Raw genomic sequence first — 22,316 nt, forward strand, 5'->3', positions numbered from 1 at the left:
TCCACCAGAATAAGCATCCTCGGTTTCTTCCTGGACTTGGCATCTGGTCTCTTCCCTAGCCTAGTCACTCAGGTTTGCATGCGCCTAGCCTATCAAGGATCTGGCCCAGGACTGGCCAGTCCTTCATGGACAGCAGGTCTTCTGGTGGTGGGTAGGGGCCTAGCTTTTGCCATGGCATGACCCATAGGAGAGAGAGAGTGCTGTAGGTTGAGGCAATCAGGAGAGGCTTCCTGGAAGAGACAGGACTTAAGAGTCTCAGAGTTTTAGAGCCAGGCAAGAGCATGGAGTCTAACCCCCTTTTTTTCACAGAGGACGAAGCTAAGACCCAGAAAGGATGTGACTTACCCAAGGCTACACACAGCAAATTAGGGGCAAGATTAAAAGCTGACTCTGTTTTTTGTTTGTTTGTTTGTTTGTTTTTTAGATGAAGGCTCGCTCTGTTGTTCAGGCTGGAGTGTAGTGGCGTGATCTCGGCTCACTGCACCCTCCGCTTCCGGGGTTCAAGCCATTCTCCTGCCTCAGCCTCCCGAGTAGCTGGGACTACAGGCGCGCACCACTACGCCTGGCTAATTTTTGTATTTTTTAGTAGAGACGGGGTTTCATCATATTGGCCAGGCTGGTCTTGAACTCCTGACCTCATGATCTGCCCGCCTCGGCCTCCCAAAGTGCTGGGATTACAGGCGTGAGCCACTGTGCCCAGCCTAAAAGCTGACTCTTAACTGCCTTGGGTACTGCATTCCTATATACACAACCTCAAGTAAAAAGAGGAATTTTTTAATATATGTGTGCATAATACAATCACATAGTCAGAAATAAAAACATAGAAAGTGATCAATAGTGTCTTACTCCCACTTTAGCCCCCAGTTCTTATGCCCATATAACTATCTTTTAAAAATTTCTTTTGAGACAGTCTTGCTCTGTCACCCAGGCTGGAGTGCAGTGACACAATCTCGGCTCACTGCAACTTCTGCCCCCTGGGTTCAAGCGATTCTCATGCCTCAGCCTCCTGAGTAGCTGGGATTATAGGCACGCACTACCACACCCAGCTAATTTTTTGCATTTTTAGGAGAGATGGGGTTTTGCTATGTTAGCCAGGATACTCTCAAACTCCTGGCCTCAAGTGATCTACCCACCTCAGCCTCCCAAAAGTGCTGGGATTACAGGCATAAGCCACCGTGCCCCACCTCTTTTTTAAATTCTTATATATCCTTCCAGAATGTATGTAATTACAAGCAAATATTATTATAGATATTTGCCTTTTGCATTCTGTGTTTCACAAAGGTAGGATAATACCAGATACACATGGTATCATACCAGAATTCTTATCCTATCAATAGGTAGAGAGCTTCCCGATACCTTTTTGCAGCTGCATAATGGACCATTAAATGGATATGGCAGGCTTTATTTAGCCAGTTCCTTGTTGCTGCATATTTAGGTTGTTTTGCTATTACAAACAATGCTACAATGCATGATGTTTGCAAATAAATAATATAAAATAATAAGGCCAGGTGTGGTGGCTCACACCTGCAAACCCAGGACCTTGGGACACTGACGTGGGCAGATTGCTTGAGCCCAGGAATTTGAGACCAGCCTCGGCAACATGGTGAGACCCTGTTTCTACAAAAAGTGTAAAAATCAGCCAGGTGTGGTGGCACATGCCTATAATCCCAGGTACTCAGCAGGCTAAGGTGGGAGGATCACCTGAGCCCAGGGAGTTTGAGGTTGCAGTGAGCTGTGATCACACCACTGCATTGTAGCGTGAGTGACAGAGTGAGACCCTGTCTCAAAAAGCAAATAAACAAATAAAATCAAAATAATAATAGGGAAATGCCCTTGGTCCACAGACTCAGCTGTCTTCCAGATGCTAGTCATTGGTGAATGAACAACAAGAGAGCCTGCACTGTCTTGTGTGAAGGTCTAGGTATTTTGGGTCTTTGTCTTGATAAAATCAGAATAGACGTGGCCTCTCACTATCAGCTAGGAAGCAGTTTGAACTTGGAGTATCAGAGGGTTGCTCTTTTTGCCAAGCCTCTGGCTTCAATCCTTGCCTGGGGATGGCAGTGCTGCTGAGGGAAGGAAGTGGGGAACACTGTGAGTGCAAGGACAGGTGAGGCAGGCACAGACGGCTGTCCCAAGGGAAAGTGCTCCATCAGCTGTGCCAGGAGAGAAGCAGCTCTTGGGTCCGTGTTTCTGCCTTAGAAGGCAGGAGTTGGGCATCTAGCTCCAGCACTCATCCCTCTTGAAACTGCTGGTTTGTTTACTTTCATTGCAACTATATGCCTGGAAGAGATGAAGAGAAAGCTCAACAGGCTTCACTAGGATTGTTTGGGTGGGGTGGCAGCAGCTCAGATATTTTCCCTCCTCTGTTTTTCATAGGCTTTTTGTAATCGTGTTATAATACTTTAATGGAAAAAAATAAATTTATTATTTTAAAGCTATAAAAATTATAAATCAGTCATTATGATGTGTTTTTCTCTACTGAGCCCTCTGGTGTGTTCCCTGTTTTATTAACGTGGATGGAGGGTGTGTCAGGGAGGTTGGGACAGAGGCAGAGAAGAGGCCAGCCCGGCCTTCGGGGAGTTCGTGGCCTGTCTGGAAAGAGGGTCTTTTACATACCAGCAGTTTGCAGAGCCAGACACAGAACGATAGAGCAGGACCTTTTAAACTCCTTTTTCAAAAAAAAAAAAAAAATGTTTAATTTTGGTAAAATACACATAATATAAAATACATCATCTTAACCATTTCAAAATGTTCAGTTCAGTGTACACTAAGTGTACAGTTCTTTAGCATTGAGTACATTCACACTGCTGTGCAGCCATTACCACCACCCGTTCCAGAAGGATTTTCATCTTCCCAAGCTGGAACTCTGTTCCTGTTAAACAGTCACTCCCCATGCTGCCTCCCTCAGCCCTGGTGACCCTTGTCTACTTTCTGTCTCTATGATTTTCAATACTCTAGGTACCTCCTATAAGTGGAATCACACAGTATTTGTCCTTTTGTGACTGGCCACTTTCACTTAGTGCAGTGTTCTCAGGGTTCATCCATGTAGCATGTGTCAGAATTTCCTTTCTTTTTAAAGCTGAATAATAATATCCCATTATGTGTATATGCCACATTTTGTTGATCCATTCGTCTGTTGGACACTTGGCTTGTTTCCATTTTTTGGCTATTGTGAATCTGCTACTATGAACACGGGTGTACAGATATCTCCTTGAGACCTTGCTTTCAATTATTTTGCATGTTTACTCAGAAGTGGGATCGCTGGATCATATGGTAATTCTATTTTTAATTTTTTTTTTGAGGAATCACCATGCTGTTTTCCATTTTTTATTGCACCATTTGACATTTCCACCAGCACCGTGTAAAAGTTTCGACTTCTCTACAGCCTCACCAACATTTGTTATATTGTCTCTCTCTCTTTTTTTCTTAAATAATAGTCATTCTAATGTGTGTGAGGTGGGTTAAACTCTTTTTTGACCACTATCCTCTATTGAAAAAAAATATATATTATATCTTAACTTATAGTATATACATATGCACACACATACTGTAGCTAAAGGAGTTTTATAAAATAGGCTGGGTCCAGTGGCTCACGCCTGTAATCCTAGCACTTTGGGAGGCGGAGGCAAGTGGATCACCTGAGGTCAGGAGTTCAAGACCAGCCTGACCAACATGATGAAACCTCGTCTCTTCTAAAAATACAAACATTAGCCGGGCGTGATGGCAGGCACCTGTAATCCCAGCTACTCAGGAGGCTGAGGCAGGAGAATCACTTGAACCTGGGAGGCAGAGGTTGCAGTGAGCCAAGATTATGCCACTATACTCCAGCCGGAGCAACAAGAGCAAGACTCTGCCTCAAAAAAAAAGAAAGAAAGAAAAAAGTTTTACAGAATAAATTATGATTGTTACATGGGATGTACTCTGATAATTTCTATTCTATACTATTATTTTTGACATAAAAATGTTGGTCATGCCCCACTAAATTGCTTTCATGGTTGGATCCACTAATGGGTCACAAGCTGCAGTTTGAAAACCACTGGCCTTAAGAGTGACTAGACTTTCCTAGAGGCCTGGCAGAGACAGATCCTGGGAGATAATCTGTTCTCTCTCCTTCCCAAGACAGGCTCACACTCTCTAATCCAGAGAGGTCATCCTCCTTCTTTTTAAAGATTTGGAGAAAAAGAAAGGAAGGAAGGAAGGGAGGAGGGAAGGAGGTCAATCCATCATGGCCAATGGTGTGGAGCCCATGAGAAGGACCCACCGCGGGGTTCTGGTACCTGGCACACCCAGGAGCCAGCACTGTGCTGGGGCCATCCCTGCCTTAACTCACATGCCCAGCAGCCTCTGTCGGGAGCCTCCTTGCCCAGCCCCAGCTTGCCTGGGTGGTTCTCAGAAGGCCCACACAGGAGGGACAGAGCTTGTCCCTGTGAGGAAGGTGTATCCCTGCCACTCACTCATTTTCAATAATCGGTCCAGTGGACGCTTAAAGTTCACAAAAGAGAGAAAGATGGTGGGGAGGGACATAAAAGACTCATCAAGTAAAGAAAATGAAGAGCACGCCGGGGCAGGAAGAGGCCTCCATTTCAAGACACTGGATTTGGCCAGGTGTGGTGGCTCATGCCTGTAATCCCAGCACTTTGGGAGGCCGAGGCGGGTGGATCACCTGAGGTCAGGAGTTTGAGACCAGCCTGGCCAACATGGTGAAACCCCATCTCTACTAAAAATACAAAAATTAGCTGGGCGTGGGGCTGTGCGCCTGTAATCCTAGCTACTTAGGAGGCTAAGGCAGGAGAATCGCTTGAACCCAGAAAGCCGAGGTTGCAGTGAGCCGAGATAGTGCCACTGCACTCCATCTCCTGGGCAACAGAGCAAGACTCTGTCTCAAAACAAACAAACAAACAAACGAACAAAAAACACTAGATTCAAGTCAGGCCAGGGGTCCCGAGGTATGTGACCTTGGGAAATCACTTCACCTCTCTCTGCCTCCGTTTCCTTCTCTGAAGATTGGCAATAATCATAGTACGGTACCTACTTTTTTTTTAACTATAATTTTTATGGCGATAAAATTCATATAAAATTCACCATTTTAACTCTTGAAGTGTGCAATTTAGTGGTATTTATTACATTCATAATATTTTTTAAATTTTTTAATTTTTTTTCTTTGCAGCTCCAGCTCAAATGATTAAATTTTTTTCTTTTTAATTTTCAGAGATGAGGTCTTGCTATGTTGCCTAGGTGGGAGGCTCAGGTGATTCTCCCACCTCAGCCTCCTGTACTTTCATAATCTTGCACAGCCATTGCCACCTATCTAGCCCCAGAATATTTTTATGCCCCCAAAAGGAAACCCCTTACCCATGAAGCAGTCAGTCCCATTTCCCCCTCCCCCATCTCCTGGCAACCACCAATCTGCTTTCTGTGTCTATGGATTTATCCATTCTGGGCATTGCATGTAAATAGGATCATACAATGTGTATTTTGTGTCTGGTTTCTTTTTTTAAAAAAATTTATTATTATTATTAGTGTTTGAGACAGAGTCTCACTCTGTGCCCCAGGCTGGAGTGCAGTGACACAATCTCGGCTCACTGCAATGTCTGCCTCAGGGCTCAAGCGATTCTCATGCCTCAGCCTCCCAAGTAGCTGGGACTACAGGTGTGCACCACCACGTCTGGCTGGTGTCTTTCATTTAATGTAATACATTCAAGGCTCATCCATGTTGTACATCTCAGTCCTCATTGCTTTTTATGGCTGAATAATATTCCATCACGTGGCTATACCACATTTTGTTTATTCAGTCATCAGTTGATGCACATTTAGTTTGTTTTACCTTTTGGCTATTGTGAGTAGTGCTGCTCTGAACATTCACGTGCAAGCTTTTGTTTAACCGTCTGTTTTCCCTTCTTTTGGGTGCACACCTGGGGTAGAATTGCTAGGTCATATGGTAATTCTACATTTAATTTTTTAAGAAACTGCCTCTATTTCATTTTGAGATAGGTACATGAAGCACTTAGCACTGTGCCTGGCACAGAGTAGTAATAAGAACAATATTTATCATCATCAATGACATTTTCTAAGTGCCAGGTATTTTATATTTTACTTGTATTAACACATTTCATCCACATTACCATATGAGGTAGATGTTATTATTCCCACTTTATAGAGGGGGACTGAGGCCTGAGGAGTTTTAAGCAATTCATCCAACTTGTGTAGTAGCTGACCCAGGTAGAGTTAAGGCTGAGAGGGCAGAGGCAAGGTCCCAGGGAGGCCAGTTTCAGCTCAATGGGAGGATTTTCTCACTGTTAAAGGAGCTGCTTTCGCCAGTAGTGAGCACTTTGTCCCTGGAGGTGTGTGTCTAAGTAGGGCTAATTACTGAGCATGTCCTGAGTTGGGCAGTGTGATTCCTGGGGTATCTTCCAGCCCTGTTAGGACACACAACAACCAAAGTGGTCCCTGGGCTCCAGTAACTCAGAGTCAGAAGGAGGTGATGCCAGTCGCGGTGGCTCGTGCCTGTAATCCCAGCACTCTGGGAGACTGAAACAGGAGAATTGCTCAAGCCCAGGAGTTCAAGACCAGCGTGGGCAACATAGTGAGACCCTGTCTCTACAAAAAAATTTTTTTAAAAAAAGGAGGTGATGTGATGGAGAGTTTGGAGGACTTCTTGTCCCCAGTGAGCTCGGAGCTTTGAGTCAGGGAGCCTGGACCTGTGACTTGGTGAGGCCCCAGGGATTAGGCCAACCACAGGTCTGGGGTACCTGGCCCTGGGGCTGCTGCCTAGTCATTTCTGACTCAATTTTCCCAACTTTGCAGCCCGAGGAGGCAGAGAGAGTGAAGGCCCAGGTTCAGGCCCTGGGGCTGGCTGAAGCCCAGCCTATGGCTGTGGTACAGTCAGTGCCCGGGGCACACCCCGTGCCAGTGTACGCCTTCTCCATCAAAGGCCCTTCCTATGGAGAGGTAAGGTTCTCCCCAGCCCCAGCCTTCCCTCCTGAAGGCCTGAGTTCCACCAGGAAAGTGAGCTGGCACTGGGGTGGGAATCCAGGCCTTCATCAGATCAGCTCTTTGTGGGAAAGTGTTTGCTCAACGCCTTCTCTGTGCTCTCCCCTGTTCTTGGCTGCATGGTCAGGGAGCTTCCCATAAGCATGGCCCACTCCCAGCCCAGCAGGGGTGCTGAGACACTCAGGGTTGTCAGAGGCCAGCAGAGACTGGTGGACAGCAGATAGTACCAGCTTGGGAAGGCTTCCTGTCTGAAGAGAGACGTAATCTGCGTGGTTGAGAGCAGAGGAGAGGGGACAGCAGGAGCAAAAGGGTGGCCACAAGTCCCTGGCAGTCAGGGCAGGCTCTGCCCACTCACCCCTGCAGGCACCTGACCTGGCTCTGTGACTCCCTCTATGCAGGATGTCTCCAATACAACGACAGCCCAGAAGAGGAAGTGCAGCCAGACCCAGTGCCCCAGGAAGGTCATCAAGATGGAGTCTGAGGAGGGGAAGGAGGCAAGGTTGGCTCGGAGCTCCCCGGAGCAGCCCAGGCCCAGCACCTCCAAGGCAGTCTCACCACCCCACCTGGATGGACCGCCTAGCCCCAGGAGCCCCGTCATAGGAAGTGAGGTCTTCCTGCCCAACAGCAACCACGTGGCCAGTGGCGCCGGGGAGGCAGGTAGGGAGGTGGGTAGGGCAGTGGCCTGGGTGCTGCCCGCCAGGGTCTGGGCGGTGCCCCTCTTCTGTATTTTGGCCCCATCCAGAAAGCCCAAAGCCAACAGGAGTCCCTTATTCCCACTGAATAAGATAGGGAAAGTTCACAGTGTGCGTGGGGGTGAGAGTGGACACAGTTTACCATGTGTTTTGCCATGATTGAGGTGTGGGGAGCCTGACAGGCTAAAATGCACAGTTCTATGAGTCCTTTCTCCCAAACACTACTGTGCCTTTGCACAGGGCAGGTCTCCACAAGAAGTTTGTTGGCTGATGCCTAGCATACTCCCAGAGAGGGCTTGGGCATACCATAACAGGAAACTGGACTCCCCATGACCTTAACTCTGCTCTCTCAGTCTACACCCATCATTTCCCCAAGTGTTTCTGCAAAGGCCACCTACCTAAGTATCTCATTTGTCAGAGTTATCTTCTATGAACACTGCCAGGCAGGTAGTCAGTTGGGCAGGAGTTGAGGTCAACCCAGAGGAATCTGGAACAAGAGAGTTCTAAGGATCTGCTTCACCCAGAGTACAGCTTTGTTCCTCATTCTGACTGAGCCCTAGCCTTGGTCACACACTGAGCACTGACTGATATTCCTTACCCACAAATGCTATTGGTAATCGATGGGTTTTGATTAACTAAATGAAGCGTCTTTTAACTCTAGACATCCCAGCTCATGGAGCTGAGAATGGGGACAGTGTGCTTCTTTAGGATTGCAGAAGGTTCCAGACCAGGTAGCAGTTGTCAGGCCTCCTGTACAGGGGGCAAATTCTGAATTCTGGGCAGATAACTTAATTGAATATTCATAGATAAGGCACAGCAAGAAATTATGGAAACCCATTTGTGAATTACTCAAATCCAAATGCAAAGCAGAGTCACATTGGCACACACAGTGGCTGTTCCCGTCCCCCTGCAGGGCATCCGTTTCCCCCAGCCGACTGGCCTGCAAGGATTCCCATAGGTGCACACCCACACCCCTCCCAGCATGCATCCTAGGCAGTTCATAATGCATCTCCCCTTCCCCGTTTCAGAGGAACGCGTTGTGGTGATCAGCAGCTCGGAAGACTCAGATGCCGAAAACTCGGTGAGTGGCCCAGAAGTTCAGCCCAGGACTCCTGCCTCCCCCCATTTCAGGTCCCAGGGGGCACAGCCACAGCAGGTGACTCTCAGACTTGCCTTGCGCCTGGGGAATTTTCCAGTGAGGCATTGAGTCCCAAGCTGTGCTGAGGACAGTCTCCAAATGACAGCTGCATGCCTGGACCACCCCAGCCCTCCCACTACACCAGGGCCAGGAGCTCTTCTGAAATGCTGATAGCATGTGTCCAGAGCCCTGTCTCTTTTCTGGAATGTCCAAGACCTTTGTCTGGAGCTTCCTTATGCATTTTCTGTCCTCTAAGTCCTCAGTGAGGAGGGCTGGACAAGAATCCATTCCTTGGTTTATTACAGCCAGTGGGGGCCAGTGAAGGGGTGTCAGGCCACAGGGCAGCTATATAGGGGCCAAACAAGTGAGGTTTGACTCCATCCATGTAGAAAGATATATAAATCCATTCCACAGTGAAACAGGTGGCCTCGTGGGTAGTGACCCTTCTGTCCCTAGAGGTTTATTACTAGAGGCTGGACTATCACCTGTCCAGGGGAAAAGGGGATCTGAATAGAGTGAAAGGTTGGACTGGGTGGCCCCTGAGGTCTCTTCCAGCCCTCAGTCTGAGGTTCTGTATTGGAAAGTGCATGGAGCCCATGGAGACCGCCGAGCCACAGTCCTCGCCAGCCCACTCCTCGCCAGCCCACTCCTCGCCAGCCCACTCCTCGCCAGTCCAGTCTCTGCTGAGAGCACAAGGAGCCTCCAGCCTGCCCTGTGGCACATACCACCCCCCAGCTTGGCCTCCCCACCAGCCCGCTGAGCAGGCTGCCACCCCCGATGCTGAGCCTCACAGCGAGCCTCCTGATCACCAGGAGCGCCCTGCCGTCCACCGTGGGATCCGCTACCTGTTGTACAGAGCACAGAGAGCCATCCGCCTTCGCCATGCCCTCCGCTTGCACCCTCAATTGCATCGGGCCCCTATTCGGACTTGGTCTCCCCATGTGGTCCAAGCCAGCACTCCTGCCATCACAGGGCCCCTCAACCATCCTGCCAATGCCCAGGAACATCCTGCCCAGCTGCAAAGGGGCATCAGCCCACCCCACCGGATACGAGGGGCTGTGCGATCCCGCAGCCGCTCCCTCCGGGGCTCCTCCCATTTATCCCAGTGGCTCAACAACTTTTTTGCCCTCCCCTTCTCCTCCATGGCTTCCCAGCTTGACATGTCTTCCGTGGTGGGGGCAGGGGAAAGCAGAGCCCAGACTCTTGGAGCAGGTGTTCCCCCTGGGGACTCTGTCAGAGGCTCCATGGAGGCCTCTCAAGTCCAAGTGCCTCTGGAAGCCTCTCCAATTACATTCCCACCACCCTGTGCCCCAGAAAGGCCCCCCATCAGCCCAGTCCCAGGCGCCCGTCAAGCAGGCCTCTGAGAGTGCTACCCTTCTCTTGTAACCTTGCAGCCAACACCCCTGCCCGGCCCCTGAGCTGCCTCCTCCAGCCCATGCTCTTACAGGCCCTGCACAGAGTAGCACTCATTAATTCTTGGTTAAGGAATGAATCAACGAATGAATGGCTATGCATGGACCTCTGGGCAGGGAGACCTGGGTCTTCTCTGGCTGAGAGGGGAAGGCTAAGGCATGGCTGAGATTCAAGCCACCATTCCAGGCCTCTTTGCCCAAGAAAGAAACTTCTGTCACCCTTGCACTCTCCTGTATTCTGAGTCCCTGGCCAATAGCACAGCCTTCCATGCCCCGACCCCCACCCCAAGCCTCTCCACTAGGCCTCTGCCAGGATCTAAGCCCATGAGCACAGGGACTGGCTATCCCAAGACCTGGCAGATGTGGCTGCTCAATAAACACTTGTTGAACCATCACCCTTGCGAACCCTTATTCCACGACCATCGCGTTCTCCGATGGATCCAGCTCCTCCCTGCAGGCTGTTCTCTCTTCCCTATGCTGGAACTCAGTTCTCCTCTGGGGATACCATGTCCCCTCTTCCTCCCACACTCATGGGCATCAGAGGTGGGAGGTAGGGTCAAGGCCCCCTGCTTCCTGGACTGTTCCAGCCCCTTCCTGGCCGTCTGGTAAGATCCTCTGTCCCTCTCAGGGTGGGCCCCATGCTCCCCAGCTCATCCCAGACACCCACCTGCCCACCCTCATTGAGGGCAGACGTGAGCATTCACCTCCCAGATTTCTTCTCCCTGCTCAGGTCCTGCCTTCCTCCTGAGTGACTTCTATTTCCACCCACCTGCCCGCCACTCCTTAACCTCTCAGGGGTTGTCACCCCATTCCCCCAGACAGCTGCCTGCCCCGTGGCCGTGCCCTGCACCTTGCCATCACCGAGCACTGTCGGTCCCTCAGCCGGTCCTCTCAGACTCTGACCGCAGCCTCCTGTTCCTTGAGCTCTCAGTCCTACCTTCGCCTCCCTCCAGCCCCGCGCACTCCCCATTTCATCCCATCTTTCATCAGAATTGCAGCTCCCTGCCCAGCAGAAAATCCTGGAAGGACTCAGGAGCTTGTCGCCTCTGTGCTGCCACCTGGAGACCGAGATCTGCAGGAGAAAGGCCTGGGAAAACTATGAGTGGTTGCCTGTGACTGCTAAGGGCTCCTTGGTGCTCCGCCCAGCATGTCCTTTTGCTCTGCAGGGCAGCCCCCGCCTGCCTTTCTTCACTGGGCCCTTGTCCCAGCCTCACCCTCAGCTGATGGCGGCACCTTCTGCTCCAGGGAGAAAACAGGAGCTCTCCAATGGCATAGGGACAGTTGACATCTTGCTATTTACAGATCCCCATCGCACCCCTTCCCTGCCCTCGTTAGGGTGGAAGGGATGTCCACCTGCCTCCAGGACTCACCCTGTGTCCTGGCCCCAGCCCTTGACCCCCTGGGAGCCTCACTCCTCCTCCTCATCTCTCTTGCATCTTCTAATGTATCCACTGCCTTCTGAACTAAACACCCTGAATGAGGTCTTTCTCATCTCAGAAAACTCCACCCACTTCTCTCTCCAGCTGTCGGCTCCCCTTCCTCTGCTCTCCTTGTTTACACTTCAGCCCCCTCCTTGCCCCTTCTTCACCCCACCTCCTGCGCTTCCCCGCCAGTACCAGGGTGGCCTCTGTGCCTCTAGGTGCAGTGTCGCGTTTAGTCGTTATTATTCTTGACCGGCGCTGGGCCCGGTCTTTCCTGGAAAGATCGCCTGCTCGGATGCAGCTCTGGGCACTCCTCCCTCTCCTCTGCAGGCTCTGTTTTTTCTTGGTTGTGGTGCTCCTGCAGGTTTGCTGCTGGGCCCTTTCCTCTTTTCAGTCTGTGTATTCTCCCAGGTGCTCTCAGCCACGCCCCTGACTTCAGTTACTGCCCAGGGGTAGCTGATACCCAACACTCGCACCTGCCTGCCAGACCAGCATGGCCAGTGACCTTCCAACAGCTCCGCATGGATGCCCATAGGTACCTCAAACTCAGCACCTTCTCCTCCCGTCTCACTGGCTCGCCCCACTCTCTGCCCGGTTGCACAAGCCAAGACCCCATAGCCACCCAGGGCACCCCCCTTTTGATTATTCCTCACATCCAACCAGTTATTGAGTCTTGTCTTTCTAGGGTGTAAATTCCTCTGAAATCTGGGCACTTCTTTCCATCCCATAATCTTGGTAAAATTAAAGCTACCACTGACCCTGGGTAGAGGCAGAAGCCTGGGAAGGAAAGGTGGAGAACAGGTTTGGAGTGCCAACAGTGTCCCCAGATGTCATGGAGAATCAAGTAGAGGGACCCCAGCAATATTGGGGGTGGGGCGGGGAGTATGTAATGCTCAGCTATCAGCAAGGAGTCATTAGGGGCTATACAGTGAATTAAGGGAGGGGGTAAAAGCACATTTCAGGTGATGATGAATTAAATACCTAGGAGCTCACATTAGAGAGCAGGCCTAGAGACGTGGGGAGAGAGCCAGAGGACCGCTGCTTTTGTGTATGTAGCTTTAAGACACAGGTTTTAAAAATTGTTATAGGAGTCCCAAACTTTAGAAAATATATATTTTAAAACCCCAACAAATTAGGTCCCCCCTATGCATTTCTCACCCAACTTCTGGGCCCTTTCCAGACCCCTGGTGCCCCCAGAGTACACCCAGCACCACCACTGCAAATTCCTACTCCCCAGCTTGGAGGGGGTGGGGTGATATTCCCAAGGTGATCCCGGCTCCCACCTAACCCATCCTCCCCAGCTCTGCAGCTTATATCCAGCTTTGCAGTGAGGAAAGTTGCAGAATACTGGTCTGCTACATTACTACTTTCCAAGTGTATCAGGGCATTTAGGAACCCCTCCCTTGAGCTTCACCTGTGTCCTAGGGATTCAGTGAGAGACTGTTTGTGCAAGAAGGAGCGAGAGGCAGCAGGGCATAGTCATGGGGTGGAGCAGTGAGTCCCCCAGGCCTGGTTGTGGAGTACCTGGGGTGAGGACTTTGCTTAAAAACTGCCAGAGTGGGTCAGCAGTGCGCCTGCCCTGGGGCCCCTGCTTTAGGATCCAAAGTGGAAAAGATAGGTGTTTTCACCCACTCTTGTGACAGATTACTGGCTCCGGTGCCTTGGTGGCAGCAGCAACAGGAGGGGGCCAAGGTGAGGGGGCAGCCTGTGGCAGAAGTGGCAGTGGTGACGGCGGAGGAAGGGAGGCCTGTGGGGAATGGCTGATCCAGGGGAGGGGCCGTGGCACTGGTGAGTGTGCATCTGAGAAAATGAAACGGAGGTGCTGGCCAAGAGGCTGGAGCTAGGCAGAAGGGCAGCAGAGGCCACAGGCTGGCCGAGTTTATGGTCCAGTTCACTCATAACATGTGCAGTATTCCTGGGGTCTTTGAGGCTTTGCAAGAGCTGGGGTTTTGTGTCTGCAGAAAGATAGCAATGCATGTGTCTTGCCAAACTGATCCCAGCTGTAGCTGATGCTTAAGTGCTCAGAAAGTTCTTCAGGAGCTTGAGGGCTCTTGATAAGCATGAATGTCAGATGTTCTGTATCTTCCAGAGGCTGGATGCTGACTATCAGAGTTTGGCTTGTGTTTGGCTGATGAGCAAACCTGGAATGAATCAGTGATAAGGACAATTGTTCTCAAGCTGGCTGTACACTGGGGAGTTTTCCCAACTACAGATTCCTAGGTCCTACGCCCTGAGATTCTAATCGAATCAGTCTTGGGTGCAGCCTGGGCCTCAGTTTTTTCTTAAAGCTATGAATGCCTAACCAAAGTCAAGAACCACTGAATCGGGGGATTCATTGCATGTCTGTGGTAGAGGAATGCTGCTCATTTGTTTATAGATGTGGCAGTCTTGAATGCAGGTGACATTTTCATACCAGGGTGTAATACCGCAGAGGAGGGGAGAGGCTGGATCTTCCCTGATGTACCTCCTGGACTTTTGGAGTGTGATTACAATGCCAATCCAGCCACTTCCTCTGAGCATGCTTGGGACGACTGTTAGACCTGCTGTGTTGAGTTAGAATGCACTTGACCTGCTCAGGCCGTGAAATCTATGAGGAAGGGGAGTGAGATGGATGTAGCTCATGAGCCAGATTGCAGGTGTATCCAAGTTGCATGTATATCCTGAAAAAATCCTGGCTCTCACGAGGCTCAGCCTGAACACAGTTTTGCATTCAAAGAAACAATGTCCATTAACCAAGTATAATAAAGAAATAAATCCCAGTATTTACTTGCATCTTTTGAAAGAACATTAAAGGGAATCCAGCTCATAACCCCAGCAGCACTTCTTCAGTCCTTCTTCCCCTTTTCTTTGGCGCCTGGCATCTCTCACTGCATAGCAAAGCTTTCCCCCTTGATTCCCGGTCCTCACACGCAGGCTCAAGGCTCTGTTTCCCATCTTCTTTCTTCTGTCCCCCTTCCTTTTCTCTTCCAAGCAAATCTAAGTCTTTTCCAGTGACTGTCCCTCTCTATGCTCCCCCGACACCCAGTTATCCTAATTTGCGGAATAAGGCCAAGGTGTGGGGCCTGGGGGCAGAATGGGAGAGTCTCCCCTAGTGAGCAGGGAGGGGAGTATGTTCTGCACCAGGCCACTATGTCTGATGGCCCTGCTGGCAAACCTGAGTCTTTCAGAAAGTCTTGTTTAAATGCGTCAGCACTCCCCAGCTGTGATGCTGGAGTTTAAGGCGGAGCAGGGGAGAATTCTGGGTTTACAGCTGGCTGGAGTTCCAGTGAGACCAGCTCCATGGGTGGCCATACTTTATGGAAGTCCCCAAGGGCAAGAGGAATTTTGGAGGAAGTGAGTCAGGGCTGAAAGGTCCAGCCTCTCCTCCATTAACAAGCTTGGTGGAAAGGGGGTGTCCTTTTATTAAAGGAGACAGTAGAGGTTTCTTAGAGAAGGCAGCTCGAGTAAGTTTAGGACAAAGGACATTTCCCTGGCCCCGGGACAATGGAAGGCTCTAAAAACGAGGTTCTAGTGGCTGCCATAAATGACCCTGCTGTAACGATGGGAGGGGTGGCCTAAAGAGACAGTACTGTGGCTCTCCAGGGAGCTCTCCTCTTGGAAGAGCAGATCTGAAGGCGGGAAGACTGGTTCTAAGGCCGAGGACATTGCCCCGAGCTTTGTGGAGGCACTCAGGAACACAAAGGGGCATTTCCAGTTGGGTTTGGAGCAGGAAGAAGAACGAAAAAGAGAAAGTCCTGTGTGCCATGTCAGTGGGTGGCAGCATGGACTCAGCCTCAGCTATTGGCACCAAGGATCTGAACCAGGGAGGACCCAGAAGGGGAGCCCAGCCCCTCCACCAGCTTGTGGGAGAGCGCTGCTGCCCAGTGAAGCCTGGAGAGAGGAAACAACTGGATTCTCCCAAAGCGGGAGAAGGTGGAGTCTCCAGCCACCCAGCTACAAGCTAGGAAGACGCCTTGTAGAAGGCTCCTTACAGGGAGGAAACCGAGTTGGAAAGGCGAGACAGCAGTGTGGGCTCACCCGGAGCAAGACGTGTGAAATCAGCTTTTGACAGCGTGGCTGAATGAGGATCTGGAGATGCGAGGCGCTGGGCAGACTCTCTGACTAGATCCCTGGATATGAAGAGGCAAAGCCAGCTCTAGATGGATTCATAGTGAGTGTCTGCTTCTGACAATAACTGGCAGAAAGCTGATGAGCCTGGAGCAGGGCTGTGAAATGCAAATCCAGTGAAATCCAGCCACTCCTACAAAAACCCACCACATCTTAGGTTACTTGTGGGTGGAAACGCTTTTTCTCTCAGTTGAAGCTTGGTTGGAAGCAGATGTTTCACTTGGGCATTGGAAGGGTCTGGGGAAATGTGCTGCCTCCTAGGCCAGGGACATTAGCCAGAGGCCAGAATTAACTGAGGCTTTAGCACCAGGTGACACCAACTTCATTGAGAAGCCAGCGGCAGTCCATAAAGAGGAAAAACCCAAGGCCTGCCCTGGACTCTGTCCCAGCCATGCTCCCAATTGGCCCTGTGATCCTGTCCATGTCTCTTCCTTGCTGGTCTCTGGCTAACGTCCACAGGTGGCATTCATGGGAGGTTCCAAGTTGGTCATCAAAGACTAAACATCTGGGCTTGGCAGCTGAGCAGATGATAAGCAATTAACTCTGTATTACCATCAGAGGCTCCACCTCCCTCTGTAGTCCCAGTCCCTTGGGAAAATCTCAGAGCTGGAGCCCTTCCCTCATCCTCTGGCTCCCCACCCCATGGCTTCTCGAACAGTGTTCCCACCAGGACCTTGGGACAGGAGAGAACGCCTCACCTGAAGGACTCCCAAAACTCAGGTTTCTCTAAGCTGCTGGGGCAGATGCCAAGAGCCTCCACTGCTCTCTCACTGCCAAGGACCTGGGTGTCCACCTAGATGTGGCCTTCAGGAGGCCAAGCAGTCCTTCCCCTCGCCTTTGTGTAGGACACTGGCACCTCGGCTGACTTCGGGGACAAGAAAAGGCAGGCTCCCGACCCCTTCCAAAGAATCATCTGGGGTTCAAGATGAGGCTTCTTTCTCCCGTCCCAAGTTTTGGTGTTTCTTCTGAGTCTGCTCAGAAAGATGAAATTAGGAGCAGACATCTCAGGTCCTGCCTGCCATAGCAGATGGCTCCTTCCCTGAGCCTCCATAAGCAGCACAGCACACTCATGCACACACCCACTGGCATTTTCTCTCACACTTTCATACACTTGTGTCAACGCAGGTTCACAGCTCACACTTAACTGTGCATGCACACACAGATTTAGCACTTGGATTCATTCCCACACATGCACGTTCACAACCTGTGTGTGTCACCCTTCCTCCCCTACTCATGAGGGTGTATGCCCTGGTTCATACATGTAACCCTCACATGTGACACACCCAGTTCACACCCATTCATGCACACATACCTTCTCTTGTGCACACGTCCCCTTTCCCAGTGGTACACCCTCCTTCATGTGCACGCAGATGCTCCCAGCTATACCAGCTTGCTAGTGTTCTGCACAGGTGCTTGCCTTGGCCCTCTGAATCCCTGACGCTTGGTTTTTCTGTGTTGCAGTCCTCCCGAGAGCTGGATGACAGCAGCAGTGAGTCCAGTGACCTCCAGCTGGAAGGCCCCAGCACCCTCAGGGTCCTGGACGAGAACCTTGCTGACCCCCAAGCAGAAGACAGACCTCTGGTTTTCTTTGACCTCAAGATTGACAATGAAAGTGGGTTCTCCTGGGGCTACCCCCACCCCTTTCTAATTTAGTCTCTGAGTCCCAAAAAGAAGTGCAGGCAGAGCCATCTGCCAGGCCCAGGAGAGCTCTGAGCTCTGGCCAACAACTGCAGCCAGGCTGGGCAGAGCACTCCGGCTCACCTGGGCTCCTGGCGTGTCATTTGCTGGCTTGAATAAAGATGTCCGCCTTATCCAGTGCCTGAGTGTGCGAGAGAGGCAGATGCCTCCACAAGTGCACCTCTGACCAGTTCTTCTCTCAGACAGAGAGCCTGGGGAACACACTCCTAGACAGAAACACAATGCGTGAGCTCATTGCCGTGAGCCCTGTCATCCAAGTAAGGCCTCTGGCTGTGCTACACGTTTCTGAGTAGAGGGCCAATCCCACAGGTGGCTGCACAGGGCTGCCCACAGATCCAAGGTCACAGAGGGATCAGACCCCTTATCCTGGAAGCCCCTCTACTTCCTCCAGTGCTTGCCCTGGCTCTGCAAATGCCCCTCCTTGAGCCAGAGCCCCAGGCCCTACCCTGTGGCATGGACTCAACATTGGGGCTAGCCCAGCCAGACAGAAACAGCAAGTGTTTTCATGGTACAGAAAAGTCATTTGCAGACCTCAGTGGGAGGCTCTTGGCCTTGCTCTGAGTGGAGTGCTTTCTATGTCCCAGGGCTCTGACTGGGCTGGGGTCCTTGAGGGGATTGGAGGAAGGAGCATGGGATGGAGAGCTAAGTTCAAGCAGCCTGGGATCTCTAGTATAGGTGGCTGAGGCTGATAGAAGACAGGAGGGACCTGTATCCATGGGGTTTGGCCAACTCTGGGGCCGGTAGTGGAGGAGGGGAGAGCTGGATCCCCAGCTGGTGAACAAAGTGTTTGGAGGGCAGCCGAGCCTCCCCTTCTGACTGCTATCCCACCACAACCAGGATCAGAGCTGCATTTGGGGGCTGATGTGTGGCTACTGCCAGCAGACCCCAAGGTGAGGTCTCTAGATGGTGAGTCAGCAGCCCTAGAGGACCCCCTGCTCCCACCCCAGAGCTCTCTGTGACCCTGGGTCCTCACCCTGCCCTTCTCTCCTGCCCAGCCCAGAAGATTAGCCAGCTGGCTGCGGTGAACCGGGAAAGCAAGTTCCGCGTGGTCATCCAGCCTGAAGCCTTCTTCAGCATCTACTCCAAGGCCGTGTCCCTGGAGGTGGGGCTGCAGCACTTCCTCAGCTTTCTGAGCTCCATGCGCCGCCCTATCTTGGCCTGCTACAAGCTGTGGGGGCCTGGCCTCCCAAACTTCTTCCGGGCCCTGGAGGACATTAACAGGCTGTGGGAATTCCAGGAGGCCATCTCGGGCTTCCTGGCTGCCCTGCCTCTCATCCGGGAGCGTGTGCCCGGGGCCAGCAGCTTCAAACTCAAGAACCTGGCCCAGACCTACCTGGCGAGAAACATGAGCGAGCGCAGCGCCATGGCTGCCGTGCTGGCCATGCGTGACCTGTGCCGCCTCCTCGAGGTCTCCCCGGGCCCCCAGCTGGCCCAGCATGTCTACCCCTTCAGTAGCCTGCAGTGCTTTGCCTCCCTGCAGCCCCTGGTGCAGGCAGCTGTGCTGCCCCGGGCTGAGGCCCGCCTCCTGGCCCTACACAACGTGAGCTTCATGGAGCTGCTGAGTGCACACCGCCGTGACCGGCAGGGGGGCCTGAAGAAGTACAGCCGCTATCTAAGCCTGCAGACCACCACGTTGCCCCCTGCCCAGCCTGCTTTCAACCTGCAGGCTCTGGGCACCTACTTTGAAGGCCTGTTGGAGGGTCCGGCGCTGGCACGGGCAGAAGGAGTCTCCACCCCACTTGCTGGCCGTGGCTTGGCAGAGAGGGCCTCCCAGCAGAGCTGAGAGGAGGGGGTGACCAGCTTGGAGTCTCTGGTGGGCAGAGAGGGATGGGGTCCCTGAGCCAGGCCCCACCCATCACAGCATTCCCAGGTCCTGGTACCCAGCCCTCAGTTGTCATTTGGTTCAGAATCAGTTCCCTTTCTCTGGGACCAAATTTCCCTTCTCTAAACATCCTACAGAGAAGGTTCCAAAGCTGAGCACCCATCACCCTAGGTGTGCACCAGACTCCTATTAGCCCCTCCTTCCAGGAGCTAGAACCAGGGAGGTCCTGAGTGAGGAAGGCATGACCTCTGGGCTCTCTAGGTGGCCCTGGTCTTGCCCCATCCATCCCACCTGCCACTACCTTGGGTGTCCTTACAGCTCTGCCCTGACCCCAGCCCCTGCCCCTGGACACCTGCTGACAGCTCCCACACAGAACAGTCTGAGGTGATGCTGGCTACAGCCCTGGCAGCCCATGGCAACTCAAAGTGCCTTCCAAACCAAACTGCCCCTCATGAGGTTAGGGTCCCCCACCCTCCACCTGCCCAGAGGCCAACTCTGTTCCCTTCTCCTTTCATCCCAGAGGGGCCTCATCAGCAAAGACAGAAACTGATGTTCCATGCATGTCCCTGCTTCCAAAGCCTGACCTTCCAAAGCTTGCTTCCTTCCTCCTGGCTGCACAGACACCTCTGCTTGGCCACAGCTTTGCTCTTTGGTCCTCAGGCCACCAGACCCCTCACAGCATGGCCCTTGGCTCTTCCTGCACTGCCCTCACCCTCAGCCGTCCCAAGGAGTGCCCAGCACTACTCAGCATGTAGTCCAGGACCTGCGGCATCAGCATCCCCTGGGAGCTTCTTAGAAATGCAGACCTGTGGGCTCTACCACAGGCCTCTGGAATCAGAATCTTCAGGGTGGGGCCCAGCAGTCTGTGTTTTAACAGGTTCTCCCGGTGATGCTGGTGCATGCTCAAGTTTGAGAACCGCTGCTCTCATAGACTGCTCCTCCAAGGGGAAGCAGTGTGGAACAGCAGAGAAAGTCCCGTCCCTATCTCTGACTGTGCAGTGAGTGTGGCCTAGGAACAGGTCCCTTCCTAAGCTCTAGTGTCCCCATCTGTAAAATGGGCTGATTGGCCTCCACGGTCAGAGCGGCCATCTGGCTGTGCCATCCTGCATTTTTAGGAATGGAAAGCAGGCCTCTGAGGCAGTGGACAGGAAGACTTCTCATCCTTGAATTCTAGCTCCCATTCCAAACTGTTAGTCCCCAACCTTGTGGTCACATCAGAGGTCAACAGCAGAACAGAGGCAGGTCAGGGTTGTCCGCTCTGATTAGCAGAACGACAGCCCCTTCCTCCTCCTCCCTCCTTCCCATCCCTACTCATTAGCTCCCTGCTCCTGGGATGCTTCCCAAGCAGCCCAGGCCTCTAGCCTCCATGGCTGATGACCTCAGCTTTCACACTGGTGAAGTCTGTGTACCCATACTGCAGCCCCATCCCATGGGGCCCCTGAAGACCCACTGAGGAATTCCGTAGGGTCTTGTTCCCACGACCGGAGTGCTGGCTCTCACAGTGAATTTTGATGCATTTAAAATAAGATTCTGATGCCAGACTGTTAAAACAGGCGCTGGTTCTGAAGCACCGATGGAAACAGATTGATGCAGATGGAAGGAGGAAGGGAGACTGGGCCCACTGATTTCCAGCCCCACCATGTGTGCTGTTTTCAGATGTGATTGAGGGGTGTTCTGCCCTGCCTCCACTGTCACAGCCTTTAATAAAGATGTGAATCTTGAAAGCCTGATGCTCCAATCACAGACTCTGCTCAGCATCCCCAGAGGAACCACTGAGAAGCCTTTTGCCTGGATAGGAGGGGGCTCTCCCAGGCATAGGCTTGTGGCCACTTGCCCAGCACAACTGTGTTTTGTGGGGCGTCTTTTAGGACTTAGCAGAGCTGAGAGCCCTTTGTTGCTCAATGCTGTGAGCCTTAAGCATGTGAATCCCCCCACATGACAAGTGGGGAGACCCAGGGTAGGCTTTCCTTTGGATCATCTCCAAATGGGAGTGCCATGTGGCAGGAAAGAAGCACCGATTTCAAGAATTACTTCCTAGAGAAAGTCAGGAACTAGAGACCAGAGTCTGCAGGAACTTTGCCACTGCCCTTCACTGGCTAATCCTGTACTTCTCTCTGTGTTCCTTGAGTGACAGGTGGTAAAACCCTTAAAAAGGGAGGTGTGGGAGGCCCAGGACTTTGGTAACAGGTGATGAATGTGTTGTCTTGGCCATCACAGGTGGAGCTTCAGTTAGTACCCGAGGGATTCCCCTGGCACAAGCATTATAGGAATTAGTCCACCACTGGCGTGGGTGAGCAGCCAGGTAATGGGAATTGATCAGTGCCACCACCCTTGACCCCAACTACCATCCCAGATGCCCAGATTCCAGTCCTGGAGTTTTATTCTCTCAGCTTGATCCTTTGACCAAGAAGATCCAGTCCCAATATGTCACCTGTGCTTCATCTTTGGACTATATCTCAGGTGTTTACGTGTCAACTAATGGGAGCTTACTGGGTTAGAAGTCAGGACACTGAGTTTCAATCCTCACTTAGTAGTCTGTGGCCCTCTTTGGCACATTAACCTCCCTCCTTGATCCTCAGGCTGCACCTCTGGCAAATGGGAGAATGCGGCTCCTTTTGACTTCAAGGGATCTTTGTGGGAACCAATGAGAAAATGTGTGTGAAGATAGCTTTTTGGTATATTTTAAAAGTGCACAAATTTAAGATCTTACTGCTTTATAAAGTGCTTTATGAATTATAGGAAAATAAACACATTTTAGATCTTAGAAAAAAACAAAAAAACATGGGCTTGTCTTCAGGGTAGTAAAGAACAAGATCTGGGATGAACAAACAATTGTGGGGGTCCTGGGGTCTGAAGGAGCCAAGATCAAGGGGTCAACCATGGAGGGGCTGGACAGGAGGTGGCACTGTGCTCCCAGCACACCCAGATGGGACATTTCACTCACTGGGGCCCGGAGTAGACAACAAGCTTTCTATGTGGCAGCTCAGCGAAGCCCTGCTCCAGGGTCTCCTTCTGAGGCCTGAAGTCATTTAAAAA

The 22,316-nt window shown here is 51.8% G+C and overlaps 1 protein-coding gene across 9 annotated transcripts in view, besides 3 other annotated features; it reads left to right on the top strand.

Moving 5' to 3' along the window:
• The window catches only part of PML (PML nuclear body scaffold), a 53,112-nt gene extending 31,052 nt beyond the window's left edge, over positions 1–22,060 (top strand). Inside the window, exons 5-9 of one of the 9 annotated variants that reach the window (NM_033238.3) lie at positions 6,805–6,948; positions 7,389–7,647; positions 8,711–8,763; positions 17,222–17,372; positions 18,454–22,060. In NM_033238.3, coding sequence (NP_150241.2) covers positions 6,805–6,948; positions 7,389–7,647; positions 8,711–8,763; positions 17,222–17,372; positions 18,454–19,241 — 1,395 coding nt within the window. In that variant the 3' untranslated portion in view covers positions 19,242–22,060. Of the gene's footprint in view, positions 1–6,804; positions 6,949–7,388; positions 7,656–8,710; positions 10,628–17,221; positions 17,572–18,453 lie in introns of those variants that run through there. The other 8 variants (NM_002675.4, NM_033244.4, NM_033239.3 and 5 more) reach the window with 8 other exon arrangements.
• Positions 11,324–12,205: an enhancer, noted in NCBI's record as "H3K27ac-H3K4me1 hESC enhancer chr15:74329432-74330313 (GRCh37/hg19 assembly coordinates)". NCBI's record gives its function as "activates a minimal SCP1, AML or CMV promoter by ChIP-STARR-seq in naive H9 embryonic stem cells {active_cell/tissue: H9 hESC(naive)}" and the evidence as "EXISTENCE:reporter gene assay evidence [ECO:0000049][PMID:30033119]".
• Positions 15,469–16,041: an enhancer, noted in NCBI's record as "H3K27ac-H3K4me1 hESC enhancer chr15:74333577-74334149 (GRCh37/hg19 assembly coordinates)". NCBI's record gives its function as "activates a minimal SCP1, AML or CMV promoter by ChIP-STARR-seq in primed H9 embryonic stem cells {active_cell/tissue: H9 hESC(primed)}" and the evidence as "EXISTENCE:reporter gene assay evidence [ECO:0000049][PMID:30033119]".
• Positions 20,596–20,787: a silencer, noted in NCBI's record as "fragment chr15:74338704-74338895 (GRCh37/hg19 assembly coordinates)". NCBI's record gives its function as "represses an EF-1alpha promoter that drives an FKBP-Casp9 reporter gene in an ReSE screen in HepG2 liver carcinoma cells {active_cell/tissue: HepG2}" and the evidence as "EXISTENCE:reporter gene assay evidence [ECO:0000049][PMID:32094911]".

The sequence above is a fragment of the Homo sapiens genome, chromosome 15 (genome assembly GCF_000001405.40).
Source record: "Homo sapiens chromosome 15, GRCh38.p14 Primary Assembly".
In the NCBI taxonomy this organism is placed as follows: domain Eukaryota; kingdom Metazoa; phylum Chordata; class Mammalia; order Primates; family Hominidae; genus Homo; species Homo sapiens.